The following is a 17,137-nucleotide window of genomic DNA, read 5'->3' on the forward strand; positions in this document are numbered from 1 at the left end:
ACAAAAGCATCTTGAACGTGATGGAGCTTATGCTGAGAGCTAAAGTTTATGTATTTTTATCTTTTAATTCCATTTTCCCACAAACTTTTGGAAGTTCCCATGTGAGTGTATGTGTGTATGTGGAGCATTTTGTTTGTCCCTTCATCATTGATGGACATTTGGATTGTTTCCATGTTTTCGCTATGGTGAATAATGCTGCTATGAACATGGATGTACAAACATGCCTTTGAGACCCTGTGTATTAGTTCACTTGCACACTGCTGATAAAGACATACCGGAAACTGGGAACAAAAGGAGGTTTAATTGGACTTACAGTTCCACATGACTGGGGAGGCCTCAGAATCAAGGCAGGAGGTGAAAGGCATTCCTTACGTGGTAGCATCAAGAGGAAACTGAGGGAGAAGCAAAAGTGGAAACCCCTGATAAACCCACAGGATCTCGTCAGGCTTATTCACTATCACGAGAATAGCATGGGAAAAACAGGCTCCCATGATTCAATTACCTTCCCCTGGGTCCCTCCCACAATACGTGGGAATTCTGGGAGATACAATTCAAGTTGAGATTTGGGTGGGGACACAGCCAAACCGTATCACCCTGCTTTTAATTTTTTGGGTTAGACACCCGGAAGTGGAAACACTCGATCATATGGTAATTGTATTTTTTAACTTTTTGAGGAAACCCTATACTGTTTTCTACAGTGGCTTCACCATTTTACTTTCCTACCGACAGTGCACAGGGTTCCAGTTTCTCCACATTCTCACCAACACTTGTTATCATTTCTTTTTACAGCTGGATAATATTCTATTGCATGTATATACTATATGTATTTTGTTAATCCACTTAGCTGATGGACATTTGGGTTGTTTCTGTCTTTTGGCTACTGTGAATAGTGCTGCCATGAACATCAGTGTATGTGTGTCCCTGCTTTCAATAGTTTGGGGTTACATACCTTGGAGTGGGATTGCGGGACTATATGCCTCACGTTTTGAGGAATCTATGGGCTTGTAAAGGTAGACTGTGCTCTGTAAGTCAGCGCTGTCCGTCCCAGCCTTCTAAGCAGACATCCCTGGGCGGGGGTCCTTCCTCTCTCCAGTGTGCTACCCCGCCCCCTTGTTTGCTCTCCAGAAAGCACTTCTCTGAGCCTCTTTTACGGAGAGGTAGGGCAGCTGGCAACAAAGATGGCCCTGGTGTCCGTTCAGGCTGGCCCAGGGGACCAGGTTGGGGCCGGCCCCTGAGTGTCCCCTGAGGAGGTGTGTGAGCAGCGGGGGAGGCTCCTCGGTCCTTTGCAAGCTCGCGGCTGAGCGGGGCCGTGTCCGTCCACTCCGACGGCGCTGGGCTGCCAAGGTGAGCCGCCGAGGAGCCCCGTGCCCCGAGGCGGGCACAGCCGCCCTGCATGGGTGCCCCCGGCGCGGGATTGACGCAGAGCCCTGCCCGGAGCCCCAGCGACCCCGTTCCTGCCCCAGGCGGCCGTTCCGAAGCCTGAGCCGGGCAACGCGCAGCCCGCCTGGCCCGGCTCCCTCCCGCGCGTCCTCGTCGCGAGCTGCCGCCTGGGAGCTCCAGACGCTCCCGCCCAGGGCGATCCGGACGCTCCCGCCCAGGGCGATCCCGGCCTCTGCAGCCCAGCTGGCGACACGCCTCGCCAAGAGCCCGCACCTCGGCGCCTCACGGCCACCGGAGGCGGGGACAGGGAGTCCGGCGCGGGCCGGGTCGGGGGATCTGCAGCGGCGGCGCGAAGGTAACTCCCCCGCCAGAGCCGGGAAAGAGCCCCGAGCAGAGGAGGAAGGGAGCGGGGACCTGCCCTTCGCCTGCCGGCTTCTGGAAGAAGCGTCTCCTGATCCGGCCCCGGAATAAGAAACCCGGACCTTGCCTGCCGGGCTCCGCGATGCCGCAGGTACAGAGCGCGCCCTCCCGGGGAGGATGCTCCAGGGACCCCGCGCTGCACTGGCTGCGGCCGTGGGGTGCGGCGGCTTCTGAGTGAAGAGGGGACTTTGCCAGGGATTCACTCCTGTGAGTTTCTTCAGGAGAGCCAGGCTTCCCCTCCTCTGTCCTTAGGGGAAGCTGCCCAGGCTCCAGGGAGAAAGTTGGGAGCAGGCGGGGGACTTGCCAGCAGGGGTTTGTGAGAGAGGCTTCTAGCGATCGAGAGGTCACCAGGTGGGGGTAGGATTGGGGTTCCCCTCTGAACGGTGAGAATAAAGGAGAAAAGACCTCTGGACAATCATCCTTAATCTCGTGACGCCCTCCTCTCCACCCCCGAAGCTTCTGTATTCTTTGCTTTTAAACACTACTTTGACCCTTCAGGTAGCATGCTTGTAGGGGTACCCCTCCAGGAGTGGCATGCCTCTGCGACCCACGGGACCTGCAAGGAGTGGGGCTTGTCCCGCCTGGGTTCCAAGCCTGCCCCCCTCCTTCTTTTCAGCTGAGTTCTGCCTCTCCTCCCTGAGTGGGCAGAGGGCAAGGGCTGAGCCAGACAGAATTGAGAGCTCGGAGGAAGGAAAAAATCAGGGTAAGGAGTTAGGACAGAGAGGCAGCAATGGGGCTGAGCCTCACTGGGGCGCAGAGGGACTTTAAACTTGGCCCCAAGAAGACAGGCTCCAGATGTTTTGCCTCGGAGGAATATGGAGAGCAGGCTTTCCTGGGGGTGGGGAGGTGGGGTCCTGGGCATCTTCCTCATCTTCCTTTCCCAGGAAAACTCTGGCTTGCATTCTTCCCTCTGTTCTCCTGACATTTGTTTTAGGGTGCTCTCCAGACCTCAGCCCTCCTTCTACGTCCCACTCCCTGGTCTGATGTCTTCAGGGTTTGGGAGGGACTGCAGGGAGAGAGCAGGGGACAGGGGGACTCTGGCTGCCTCCCTGTCCCCACCAGGGCAGCTGACACCCCCCTAGACCCCTCACCCCAGCCCCATTATGTGGTGTGGTGGAGTCCCTGTATCAGGATTTCGCTCCCCTTCCTTGCAGCTGACAGAGGAGGCCTGAGAGCGCAGTAGTAACTCCTTGCAGTTCTAGGGTGTAACACTCTCCTCCAGGGAGCTCCAGGCTGTGCAGACATTATTGATCTCCTGCCTGGCAGAAGTTGAACCTCTGAGTGTTTAAGCTATTTACCCCTGGACACTCAACCAGCCAAGGAAAAATTTTGCTCTAGCGTCCCCATTCTCATCACTTGGTTAGTCACAGGCTGTGACTTTACCCTACAGCCTCTGTCTGGGGACAGGCCTTCATAAATGCTGTTCCCAGCTTCTAGGGTCATAGCAGGTTCTAATGTGGGAACAGGAAGTCCAGCAAATAGTGAGGAAGGTGGCTGCTCTATGGCTCTGTGATTTTAGAGCCATGTTCTGCCAGAAGAGCAAGGAGAGCAGACAGGCTTGTCTGAAAGCCCTCCCTCTTAAATAGCATTTAAAGAAATTTCTTTCTCTTCAGCCTCCCCACACTCCCAACTTTTGTCCTTGAGAAAAGGTGCAACACTTCTGAGTCTTCAGTGGAACAGAAATAAACTGAGCCAGTGCTTGATTGTCTCTATAGCAATCCACCCTTCCCTAATTGAGTATGTGGTTTTCATTCATTTTCTCTCATTGGTTCCTTTATTTCCACTCCATCACCCTATGTTCACTCTGGGCAGGGAGCTAATAGGTCTGCTTAGGTTACAGGGTGGTTTTGAATTTGGCCAGCTTTACTGCAACATATAGCCAACTGTTTGTATGTCTTTCAAAGGTTTAGAATGGAGCTCAGATACCATACCCCAAAGATGCTGGCAGAGACATTCTGACTCATTAAGGGAGAGCTGGCTGATAGCAGAGAGGGGTGACATCAGCCTTGCAGACATTGCCCTGGGGAATTCTGAGCAGTGTTGCTCACAGCACCACCTGGCCAGATGGAGACCACCATGGGGTTCATGGATGACAATGCCACCAACACTTCCACCAGCTTCCTTTCTGTGCTCAACCCTCATGGAGCCCATGCCACTTCCTTCCCATTCAACTTCAGCTACAGCGACTATGATATGCCTTTGGATGAAGATGAGGATGTGACCAATTCCAGGACGTTCTTTGCTGCCAAGATTGTCATTGGGATGGCCCTGGTGGGCATCATGCTGGTCTGCGGCATTGGAAACTTCATCTTTATCGCTGCCCTGGTCCGCTACAAGAAACTGCGCAACCTCACCAACCTGCTCATCGCCAACCTGGCCATCTCTGACTTCCTGGTGGCCATTGTCTGCTGCCCCTTTGAGATGGACTACTATGTGGTGCGCCAGCTCTCCTGGGAGCACGGCCACGTCCTGTGCACCTCTGTCAACTACCTGCGCACTGTCTCTCTCTATGTCTCCACCAATGCCCTGCTGGCCATCGCCATTGACAGGTGAGTGCAGCAGCAGTGGGGACAACAAAGGCGGTCAGGGAGGAAGGGGCATTGGAATTGCCCCCTCCTGTACTGCAGTTGCAGATTGATGAGAGGTGTCTCTATTCCCCCTAGATGTGGTTGCATGGGGGACTCAAAAGCTTGCCCATTGACTGACAGTGAGAAGAGTTCTCCTTTTCCAGCTTTGTTCAGACAGAAGACAGCAGAGCCCTCTAGAGTTGGGTGATGGGAAGCTTTTGATCTCCCTTGCTATGGATGTTTTCCTAGATATTACACCTTTCAAGGTCTAGAGTAGACAGGTAAGAGGAGATATCGAGGGAAACTTTAAGCGTCAGGCAGTTACCTCTTGAGTCAATGTGGAAATCTTGAAGGAGGTTTCTATCTCATCAAGACTTCCTCTACTAAAATATGACCTTCTAGCATCATCTGTTTTTAAATAAGATTCAAGGATTTATGACTGGCTGTGGTAAACAGTTCAAGCCTATAATCCCAGCAATTTGGGAGGCCGAGATAGGAGGAGCATTTGAGGCCAGGAGTTCGAGACCAGCATGGGCAACATATCCAGACCTCACCTTTTGAAAAAATTAAAAAATTAGCTGAGCGTGGTGGTGTGTGCCTGTAGTCCTAGCTAGTTGAGAGGCTGAGGCAGGAGGATCACTTGAGCCCAGGAATTCCAGGCTGCAGTGAGCTATGTTCATGCCACTGTGCTCCAGCCTGGGTGACAGAGGGAGACCTTGTCTCTAAAAAATAAATAAATAAATAAAAATAAAAAGATTGAGGGATTTGTTTTGAAAAAAAAGGGAACATATGTTTATTTACTTTTTGTTGTTGCATTAATCACTTTGCACCTTTTAGTCCATTTGCACAGATAGTGCAGAAGACCTGTTTCTGGTGATCGCAAATAAAATCAGTAAGAGCAGCCTCTGCATATCTTTCTTCAACTTAGTCTCTTCCTTTAGTGTAAACTTGTGCTAATGGGCCAGGCTGGTCTTTGTTCCTCGGGGGACAATCTTTGCTAGCTCCTCTGCCCACAGCTGGACTGTCATTACAAAGCACCTGGTTACAGTCTAGAGACAATTATCCTGAGGATCAAATCAGGCTTCTGTGTACTTGGATCTGAACAGCCTGTCTCTCTCCTTTAACCCAGAGAGCCTGAGGCATACATGCTCTCCCTGTTCTCTGGCCTCAAGGATCTGAGGGGGTTTGACCTGGCCCTCACAGTCAGGACAGTGTTCTAGGGAGGAGCACAGCTAAGAGAGCTTGTTTTCTGAGACCGTAGGCAGGGCGACCAGGGGTGGGATGACCGAAAAGGATAACCTGAAAAAAGGGGGTTACCAAGGAACCTCTGTCTATAAAACCGCTGAGGGGTGGAAACTCTGCCTCCCTTCTCTAGGGAAGGACATCAGGAAGTTAGCAGCTTACATAGCCCTTGGTCTGTCCCCGTAGATCCTTGCAGAGTGCTACTTCTTCTTGGCCAAATTCCCTCCACTGAATCACAGAGCCCTGCAGCTTTTCATTTACCTGGAGGCCAAATTCCCTCCACTGAATCAAAGAGCCCTGCAGCTTTTCATTTACCTGGACAAGGACCCCGCATGAACCCACTGAAGGAGCAGGAGGGGAGCAGTCAAGTAGAGTATCTACTTCGTAGGTTCCTTTCAAAGCTGCCAAGGAAGAGCTCCAGGGACTTTGTCTCTGAACTTTTTTGAAAGTAGAAGCCGCCACCTTCTCTCTTAGCCCATGAACAGGACAAAGCATACAGAGTCATTTCCTGAAGTTTCATACTAGCGAGAAACTACATGTGCTCAGCTACTAAAAGCAGGGTAGGGTGCCTCCTGTGGAGTGGGACCCTACTCCCCGGATGAGATCCATTTTACCACTTGAACGGAGTAACAATGGTAGGAGGAAGTAGCTTCAAGGGGAAAGGAAGCCAGGATACACTAAGGGGCATTGGGTTATTTGGAACATGTAAGAGTGATATCTATGTCAATCAGTCAGTCTCCATCTACTGAACTTCTTCAAGCTTATAACCTCCTTTCATACCAAACAGAGCTTGTCTGAAATACTGCAAGCATTTCTCTTGCAGTGTGAGTTTACACAAAGGAAATTAGATACAATAAGAAAGATGAATTAGAAAAAATGCTTTGCACCGTGGGAGCTTCTATGGTTGAGTGGGGTTATGATAGGAAGCTTGTACCCAGACCTCAAGGAAAGCACCATGTGCCTTCACAGGGCTGCCCAATGGTCTTGGTGGATGAATGGCTGCACCAATGCCCATTCTTTTATTGATGTTTGTGATCTTTGCTGCAATTATTTTTATTTGTATGTGTTGTTACCATCTAATTGTGGTCTAGGAATCATTAATTTTTCTCTGGTCTCACGTGTTGTTCAGGATTTGATCAGTTGGGAGCAACTAATTTTTATCTTGGTTTATAACAGATCTACTTAGTTGTAAAAATGTCTTTATTTTTGCTTAATGAAATTTCTGTAGCCATGTTGGCAGTTATTCTGCCTGGGTTTAAGTACCAGCTGTATTGTGTGTTGGGTATTATGTTAGTTATTTGACCTCTCTCTGCCTCAGTTTTCTCGCCTACAAAATGAGGATAAAAAGAAAGCCTATTGTATTGGGTTGCTTTGAGGATTGAATGAAATAAATATATTTAATTTCTTAGAACAATATTCAAAACAGTAAGCAATAAATAAACAGTGGATATGATAATTCTTAAATTAACCCTTATAGGAATGTCTACAACAAAAAAGCAGGTAAACTAATGAACATTTCTGACACACTAACCTTTTTGCTTTCATTGAAATTATTGTTTTTATGATGTGATTTAAAAAAAATACAAGATTTTTACAAAATGCCAGAACAGAACTATTTATCATCTACCTGCTTGTATTTGTCTATATTATTGGTTCCATTGTTCTCCGAGGCATCTAACCTAGAAGAAAGTCTCCTTTGTCCTGGCTGCTCTCCCTTCTTTACCAGCATTCATTCAACCTCCAGGTCTTGGCAATACCCGTTTGTTCATTCAGGGCTGGTATCCTAGTCTCCTCTTGGTCTTCCTGCCTTCAGTGTTTCTTGGATCTGCCCATCTGTCAACGCTACTCCCCTGACAATCCATCCTAAACTTTCATTCATTCATTCATTTAAACAATCCATTTTTATAGAGTAACTGTGATGTGACAGATGCTATTGCAAGCACTGGAGATACGACAGTGAATAAGACAAAAAAAACTCCTTGCTTTCCTGGAGCTTATAACCAAAGGATGGAGAGAGATCCAGTCAGGCAAACACAAAAGGAAGGTAATTTCAGAAGCAAGAAATACTCTGAACAAAAGAAGTACACAGGTAAAATGTCGAGGGTGGCTGAGGGTGGGACCTATTCTAGGTGAGTAGTCAAGAGAAGGGTCTCCGAGGAGAGGCCTTTGAACTGGCTTCTGAATGACACAGGGGGAAAGAGCCTGCCTTGGGAAGACAGGGAGCAAGCATCCCAGACAAGGGGGATTGTAAGTGAAAAGGCCCAGAGGCAGGAACAAACCAGATGGGTTCTACAAACAGAGGAACAGAGAGAAGCCTCCATGTGGCCCGAGGGAAGTAAGCAAGGCTGCAGCCAAATTAATCTTCTGTCTTGTACGTGTCTCCACTCTCCTGCTTAAAAACAAAAAACCAAACACCGCATATTCTCACTCATAGGTGGGAATTGAACAATGAGATCACATGGACACAGGAAGGGGAATATCACACTCTGGGGACTGTTGTGGGGTGGGGGGAGGGGGGAGGGATAGCATTGGGAGATATACCTAATGCTAGATGACGAGTTAGTGGGTGCAGTGCACCAGCATGGCACATGTATACATATGTAACTAACCTGCACAATGTGCACATGTACCCTAAAACTTAAAGTATAAAAAAAAAAGACCTCTAATAACTCCATTGTCTACAAAGTATGGCTCAAACTCTTTCACCTGTTCTTCCAAACTTTTATTATCTAGCCCCAGACTGCTTCCCAGTCTCATGGTTAAACATATTTATGTCCTGTTTTCCCAAAAATAGTTGCAATCTTTCTGAGAACTGTCCCCATGGCTTTTTATATATTAAAAATAAATTTTTTTAGAGATGAGATCTTGCTATGCTGCCCAGGCTAGTCTTGAACTAGTCTCAAGTAATTATTGTGCCCCGACCTCCCAAAGTGTTGGGATTACAGGTGTGAGCCACTGTGTCCAGCCAGCTTTTTACATGTCTATTCACCCAGCGCTAGGCACTCAATGAGGGTGAAGTTGCACCAAAATCCTGTTAGGTACTCAGAATTCACAGAGAGTAAAAGGTTATAAAAGAAGTAAGACATAATCACAGCTCTTGGGGGGCTGACCATCTAGAGTTGGGGGTAGGGTGGGACCAGGGAGAACTAACACTTACAAAACAGTTAAAGAATAAGTAAAGGATAAATTTTAAATAACATTTAGAGAAGGGTGAGATCATTTTGTGCCGGAGTAGTCAGAGGAGGCTTCATGGAGGAGGTGGATTTCTAACTGTCCTTCAACAAATGAAGATCAACAAAGGAGAGGAAAGTTTTCCCAAGAGAGTGGGTAGAACAGTGTGTGGAAAAGCCTAGAGGTGGGATTGCCTGAAGTGAATTTGAGGTACTTTAGAGAGGGATGTCAGGTATGGGTAAGAAACACAAGGACAGTAGAGATCAGAAAGAATAGAATCTATTCCAGAAGGTCTCAACAGCCAGGCAGAGGGAGTCAGACCTGAGGGCAGGAGGAAAATGAGGCCAGGTGTGGTGGCTCACGCCTGTAATCCTTGCACTTTGGGAGCCCTAGGCGGGAAGATCCCTTGAGCTCAGGAGTTCAAGATCAGCCTGGGCAACATAGGTAGATCCTGTCTCTACAAAAGAAAAAAAAAATTTACCGGGCATGGTGGCATGTGCCTGTAGTCCCAGCTACTCAGGAGGCTGGGGTGGGAGGAACCCTTGGGCCCAGGAGATAGAAGCTGCAGTGAGCTGTTATCATGCCACTGCACTCCAGCCAGCCTCGGTGACAGAGCAAGATCCTGTCTTTTAAAAAGACAAAACAAAACAAAAAAGGATCATGAGAGACCTCTGCCCCAGCCACAGGTATGGGTTTCCTTTTGATGTGGAGACACTAAGATCCCACAGCGTGTGGGGGCTCCAGAGAACTTCTCTTTTACCCAGAGTCCTGAGGAAACTGGCCAGAAAAGTACCTGTGAAGAAGCTCTCTTCTTCTGTCTTGATGAAGCTAAGGCCTGAGTAATCTCACCCAACCTTAGGAAGCACAGAAACCTCCTGGTGAGCTCATTAGTCAGGGCCACTGGCCTGAGGATCAGGTTGTGTTATCTCTGCCCATCCCATGACTAGCCTAGTAGCTGCTGAGACCACTGTTACCATGATTTGATCTGGGGCTTGGTCCTGGGAACGGAGACAGAGCCCAAATACTTCTTTTCCAGCCCATTATTATCACAGTTATTGCCTGGACCATCTCTTTGTCTAGCAGCCTTTATTCCTTGTTCTCTGGGAACTGTTAGCTCTACATGAATCTGGACCTAAGCCACTGTAGTGGCAGACACACAGGGCAAGCCAAGGGCATACATATAAGCAGAGAAAAGCAGCCGCCAGATGTCAGACCCCTTCTTAGAACACCAATAGTTAGAAACCAACTGTGATGGAGAGGAAAGAGGAGAAGGGCTGCTGGGATGCCAGGAAGGCAAGAGGAGGGGGCATCATTTTGCTCTTGGATGAAAGAAGAGGGGGTAAATAGCATTCAGAGAGGCCACTGGCTTTGCAGCAAGATGTGGGTCTGAGTCATTGTTCTGTTGATATCTAGTTGTATGGCTTTTTGGCAGGTTATTTAACTTCCCCAAGCCTCAGTTTTCTCATCTATAGAGTGGACATTGTCACTGTCTTACCTATTTAGTAGGGTTGGAATTATCTAGTGAAAAAGTGGATTTGAAAATGCTCTGTAAATTGTAAACTTCTTTACAAACATAAGCAAACACAACATTACTAATGCTAGAGTTCTGGAGTTCTGGTCCTAGCATTGACAAAGCTGATGGAAATTCTTGAAATCATTTTCTGCAATTTACCTATTTGTAAATATATCAGGAAGGCCTCTTGCACAGCTCATGGCACTAATTCTGCGGATGGAGTTGGGGTGATGTCAGAGAGACCCAGAATGAAATGACTATCTGATAGGTAGTCACAGATTACCCTGAAGATTAGTTTTGATGTGTAGAGTTTATCCTATAAAATAGAAAGGAGGAGAGGACTTGCAAATTGAGTGTTTGCCAATAACAGGTAAAAGAAAATTGCTGTGTATACAGAATAGCTCTGGGAAAAAATACATTTTAAAATGCTAGTAATTCCTTGTATATTAATAGCTTACTGTTGCTATGTGCAGTGTCTCACTGGCGCCTCATAGCATCTAGGTGATATTCCCATTTTACAGATGAGGGAAGTGAACCTACAGGGATAAGAAAAATGACTCAGATTCATAGAGCAACTTTCTGGCAAAGCTGGGATTAGATTTGTGGTCTTCTGAGTCTTAGGTGGTTGTTCCTTCCCACATTTATTGAAAACACACTCTGTGTTTGAAGCATCATAAAGGCTTAGGTAGCTACTATCGGGAAAAGGAATAGAATTATGTGGTGAAAATTCTTATAGTGAATAAATATGAAATAGGAAATTTCTTTCTCAGAGTAATCAGTGGAATGTGGTGGGGTAGACAGACAGCAATGGAGCCAGTGAGAGCAGAATGTCTTAACTCTCCATTTTCATTGTGAGTCAGGGCGAGTTTGAGGCTCTGGTTACATCAGGAGCACCGCGATCTTAATGAAGGGCCCACACTCGTGCATTGACAATGGCATTGCCAACACCCTGCAGACATTTCCCTTTTTTCCCTCTGGCACTCGGGAGATTGGCTAGAGTGCCAGGGATGGCAGTCGGCCGGGCGTCCAGAGTGGGCGCAACCCATCCTACTTTATTTAACATCTGGGGCTAGAAGAGCTGGAGCCTCACTCCTGTGAACTCTCTAAAGGATGCTCAATAGGCTTGACTGCCCAGGCTGTGGGGGAGGGACAGAAAGAGCAGAAATACAGTCAGGAAAAAAAAAAATAAGTAAGAATGAACCTTTCTTCAAATCAAAATTCCAAGGAAGATAACTTCATAGGGATTGGTTTCAAAGGAAACAACCGGTTTGGCTTTCCTTCAGGCCCCCTTCACGTTTGCTCTGGGCTCTACCTGGAATAAGTTCTGGACACGTGAGACTGTGTTTGTTTCCACTGTTGACCAGTCAATCCCCTCCCACTTCACTCCCCATCTCTCTCCTTCCCCAACTTCCACCCTCTGCCAGCCACGGGACGTCTTCCAGGAAACCGGAGCTCTCTGCATAAGCTGTGTGCGTTCTCTCTCGGAAAGAGGCTATCAGCTCTCATGCCGCACAATGACTCATTTCCCCCCTAGAAAGTGCTCTCTCTTTGTGTTCCTGGACCACTGTGGTAACAGCAATGTGGGTTTTTTTTTGAAAGGACAAAAGCAGTATCTTTTTACTGTCTGGTGCTTTGCGGTTAGAAAAAAAAATACATTCACGTATATTCTCAATTGATTTTCACATCAATCCTGTGAGGTAGGGTTAAATGTTTTCTATCAAGGAAGGGTCCTGTGGTCTGTGACCTTGAGAAAGTCACTCATCTCTCACTGCCTTCCATTTTTCCACCTGAAAATGACACACATGGCCACATGCTTTTCCTCCTCCTTTGCATGCAAAGCAACAATTTTTAGAATGTAGAATGAAGAAAAACCTTTGCCCACTGTTTCCATTGGAAAGGGCAGATTCTCCCAACTCTTTGAATTATCTTGCCCTTTTAGCTCTAAACTGAGAGGTAATTAGAATGAACAGCCCAAGAACAGGAAGGAGCTGGGAACAGTGCCAGGCTAGAAACCGATGGGAGGAATTATTATATTTAATACTAATTGTTATCATTTTGAGTACCTATTAGGCTTAAAACTGTGCCAGGCATAGTGCATACATTATCACATTTAATATTTAACAGCCAACAATACTTGTGCAGATAAGGAAACTAAGGGTCAGAGCATCAACAAAACTTGGCTGAGGTTGCATAGCTAATTAGAGATGACATTGGGGTTTGCTTCAAGTTGACCTTTTGCAGAAGCCCACGTACCATTGGGAGTTTCCTCCACACATACCATTTTGTTGCTCCTTAGAATGCTGCAAAATGAAATAGCAGGTTTGCTTGAGCCCAGGAGTTTGAGACTAGCCTGGGCAGCATACGGAGACTCTACCTCTACAAAAAATAAAAATAAAAAATTAGCGCGTGTGGTGCATTGCACCTCTAGTCCCAGCTACTTGGGAGGCTGAGGTGGGAGGATTGCTTGGGCCTAGGAGTTCGAGGCTGCAGTGAGCTATGATCATGCCACTGCACTCACTGCACTCCAGCCTGGGTGACAGAGCAAAACCCTGTTTCAAAAAAAAAAAAAAAAAGATTATCCAGCACTTCTTTCTCACAGTGGCTGCCTCCACTTGTGTTCTTGCCCTAGGTATCTGGCTATTGTCCATCCGCTGAGACCACGGATGAAGTGCCAAACAGCCACTGGCCTGATTGCCTTGGTGTGGACGGTGTCCATCCTGATCGCCATCCCTTCCGCCTACTTCACCACCGAGACGGTCCTCGTCATTGTCAAGAGCCAGGAAAAGATCTTCTGCGGCCAGATCTGGCCTGTGGACCAGCAGCTCTACTACAAGTCCTACTTCCTCTTTATCTTTGGCATAGAATTCGTGGGCCCCGTGGTCACCATGACCCTGTGCTATGCCAGGATCTCCCGGGAGCTCTGGTTCAAGGCGGTCCCTGGATTCCAGACAGAGCAGATCCGCAAGAGGCTGCGCTGCCGCAGGAAGACGGTCCTGGTGCTCATGTGCATCCTCACCGCCTACGTGCTATGCTGGGCGCCCTTCTACGGCTTCACCATCGTGCGCGACTTCTTCCCCACCGTGTTTGTGAAGGAGAAGCACTACCTCACTGCCTTCTACATCGTCGAGTGCATCGCCATGAGCAACAGCATGATCAACACTCTGTGCTTCGTGACCGTCAAGAACGACACCGTCAAGTACTTCAAAAAGATCATGTTGCTCCACTGGAAGGCTTCTTACAATGGCGGTAAGTCCAGTGCAGACCTGGACCTCAAGACAATTGGGATGCCTGCCACCGAAGAGGTGGACTGCATCAGACTAAAATAACCCCCTGGACTTTGCAAAGTTTAAACACAAAGCAGGGTCCTGTGGACACTGACTAGTGTGCTTGGATGCACATCAACCTGGAACTTTTTGTTTGCTGCAGAGGGTAAAGTAAATGGACCACTCTGTGAGCAATGTTTTCAAGGAGCTCAGAGTTTCTAAAATGCATGTGACCAGACACTATCAACAGTGGCATTTGCTGAATGTCTAATTTACACGCCAGTAGGTACTGGTAAAACCTATATATGTTGATGACATTTAGTTGGCAAAATGAAATTGGAATTAAACCAAGGAAAATGTGGTGGTGTAGATAGAAATAAGGGAGTTTCCACAAAAGAACTGGAGTAGGTATCTAGGATTGCAGTACATGTGTTCGTAGTGTGAGAGTATCTCTGGGACTATTCTTGCACTGGACTTCATGCCTAACATTTGCAAGGCTGGAGCAAGAATACGAAAGGGACTCTAGGCTCCTTCTGTAGCCCTTATCCTCTCATCTTTCATGGCGAGGGGCCTTGCATGCATGTGCACGGACATCCCAGTATTCATGGCCAAGTTCTGTGCAAACTCTTCCTCCCACACTGCTCTATGGCCACCCTCAGGCCCAGGGCTCTGCACATAGGTGGTAAGGCTCTTCATCAGAAGGACTGGCTTGGCGAAGAAGACACATAGACCCTGGATGCCATTTGGACAGGGAATTATGGGGTTCTGGGTACCTGGAGTAAGTCCAGAGGGGGAAGCCTGGATTCAGGGTAAGCATGTCCCCTGGCTCCATGGACTTTTTGCCTTCAGTGAGAAGGGAGATGCAAGTGGAGGAGACTCAGAACGGGAAGGCAAAACTGGAAGCATGCAGGGCTCAATGCAGCTCAGGTGTGGCAGGGGCTCAGGCTCTCCAGGTATACAGATGATACCGTTCCCACCTGTTATTTCATTTGGACCAATTAGGCTTCCCCTTAAGTCCTTCCCTTCCCTCTCACGCCTCCATGCTTGTGAAGCATAGAATCTTTGAAAATGGACACAATACCTCCTGGATGTGGCCTTCATTCATTTTTCTGTTTTCACCAGCTCTCAAATGTGAGTGATGAAGAGTTCCCTCCTAACCAGACAGCATGGTAAGGTATCCTCATCGATATGATTTGAGGGCAAGATATCCTTATTACTGGCACCTGAATCCCATCCTAGTCTTTGTTCCTTTGGATTAAGACTTGCTTTGCTTCTAAAATAGGGGTCCTCTTAGGAGGGATAAGCCACACGTTTCTAGTCCTCAGCGTGAATGAAGTCATGTGATCCAGTGGCAGGGGATGCAGGTCAGATGCATCTTCCAGAAGTCTGGGCACCCAGGAAAGAAGGGGACACACAGATAGGTAGTGTCAGACCAAACAATGAGCTTCAGTGACCCCATAGGTTGTTGAAGACTCATCCCACTTTCTAACCTGCCTCCTTTGTTTGATGTTTTGAGTTTTGGAGTTTGGTATTTTGGAGTTGGAAGATCTGAGAGCCAGACTTGACTCTGTCAACTGTGTAGCCCTGGGCAAAGCCTCTCCGAGGGGACAAAGGTAACACCTTTGTCCTTCTGTGGTACCTTCTGTGATACCTGTGATACCTTCTGACTGAGTGGCTATGAGAAGCCAATGAGACAATACGTGGGAGATGCCTTCAACCACACAAGTTATCAAAAGGATGGGCTAGGAACTACGTGTAGTGCGCCTGGACAAGAAAAACCTCTTACTTTGGCTTGTGTATCCAGAAACCTGGCCGTCTCCACTTTTATTTTTCTTTGTGTAAATTATTCCTTTGTGCTTCATAACAGTGCTGTATGCATTATGTGCCTAATGACATGGTTGTGCAAACAAGGTCATGAGATTTGCTGGTAGACGCATAAAGGAAAGGGTGGCTGAGTCTCCGGTTAGAAGATGAGTTTAGGGGTTTGGATACTCCAGAATCGGAGTATCTTTGTGATACTAGAAGTGCTGATCATCTTCCCATGACTGTTCCCAGCCAGCATGAATCTGGGCAATGGAATAGTTGTTTCTCAGTCTGTTTTTATTCTCACGAGTGTGTAGGCTACAGCGTGGACTTGTCTTTTTCTTATTTAACTCTAGAGCAGCGCACTTACAAGGTTATTTAAGTGGCACCTGTATGACATGTTCCCCTCCAAATATAGTCAACTCCTTATTTTGGGCAGCAAAGTTTATTTTGTATAGTTACTTTATTTCCCTGAAAGACACATTACAAAAACCTATTTATTTCTTCCCATTTATCACCCAGTAGACTTACCCTACAATTTAATCAGAATGCTCTTGGAGAGTAAAATTAATTAAAATATTAGCCTAAATCAAAAATGCATTGGAGGGCCATTTTTATTTTTTATATAAGATCATATATTGCATTCTAAAATCTGGAAGGTTAGCTTTTGTATTAAAAAGTTAAAAATGATACAATTTATTGTCATTATGTTCACCGCTTTCATTAAGAATGCTAAACAAGAGTTGATTGTATTAAACAGGAGCTTTTTATATGCGGCAACCAAAGCCCACTCTGCTTTTCAGCCTAAAATGTATCAATTTTTCACTCAACTATCTGTGTTACTTCCAAATATTAGTGTCTGCTTGTAATTTTGTAGTGAATGAGGGTGTTGTGTTGTTATCAAGTGAAATGAAAATACTTGGATATACAGAAAATCATGGAGCGTCATGTCCTGTGAATTCCACCTCCTTTCCTATCCTTTTCCTAGTTGTAGTGACACGGTTCTTTGAGCGAACACTAAGTAGTTTCCATGATCGTATGATTTGTGAGATCAGTGCTAACTCATGCTACAAACTTCCCCTCTCCATCCTAAAGAGATTTAACTGATTTATAGATCCGCTTCCTAGAAGTCTGCTCTGGTAAAGCCATTAATACTTTTTAGCATCTGAGTGCCAAGACTTGAAATTTGAGGACCTGTTTATGTCTATTACATAAGCTAAGGCTAAACCTGAACAGGCTTAATATCCACACGTGCAAAGTGAGCAAGAGACAAACCTATGATATACCGTGCCATGTTCAGATTCATCTAACTAGCTGCCCAGCTGATGGCTTCTCCAAAAACTTGTGGTAAGCCTCACAATATGACACTTGTGCTATGTGTATCTATTCTGTTCTCTAAATACTTTCAGTATGCAAACAGATAAGTATGTTGTCTTATACGGAAGGATAAAGATGTGATTTTGTAAAATCAAACTGTTTCCATAACTAAAGTATAAGGGCAGATTTACAGTAAAGCTTTTGGAGATTTTGTCTACTGAGTACAATTTAAAAAATAATTGGAATGACACTAAACAAGGCAATGTGGTGATCACTCCAGCAATACCTGAAGCATGAAACAAGTTCCAGGCTCCTTATGAAAAAGAATGCCAAAGAATTTGCAAGATGATCAGAAAATTATACATATGAGTCCTATTCTTGAAAAATATATGATATATTTTGGAATATATCCACAAACAATGAGTCCAATTCTCTTTCCTACAGTCAAAGTGAGAATATCA

General features: G+C 46.6%; 1 protein-coding gene across 1 annotated transcript; it reads left to right on the top strand.

Moving 5' to 3' along the window:
- Window positions 1,622-16,294, top strand: PROKR1 (prokineticin receptor 1). Its single transcript, NM_138964.4, has 3 exons — window positions 1,622-1,891; window positions 3,705-4,349; window positions 12,923-16,294. Exons 2-3 carry the CDS (start codon window positions 3,865-3,867, stop codon window positions 13,617-13,619), a joined length of 1,182 nt encoding a protein of 393 aa, NP_620414.1. The 5' UTR covers window positions 1,622-1,891; window positions 3,705-3,864; the 3' UTR covers window positions 13,620-16,294.
- Window positions 16,295-17,137: the final 843 nt, after the last annotated feature.

The sequence above is a fragment of the Homo sapiens genome, chromosome 2 (assembly GCF_000001405.40).
Source record: "Homo sapiens chromosome 2, GRCh38.p14 Primary Assembly".
Classification (NCBI taxonomy): domain Eukaryota; kingdom Metazoa; phylum Chordata; class Mammalia; order Primates; family Hominidae; genus Homo; species Homo sapiens.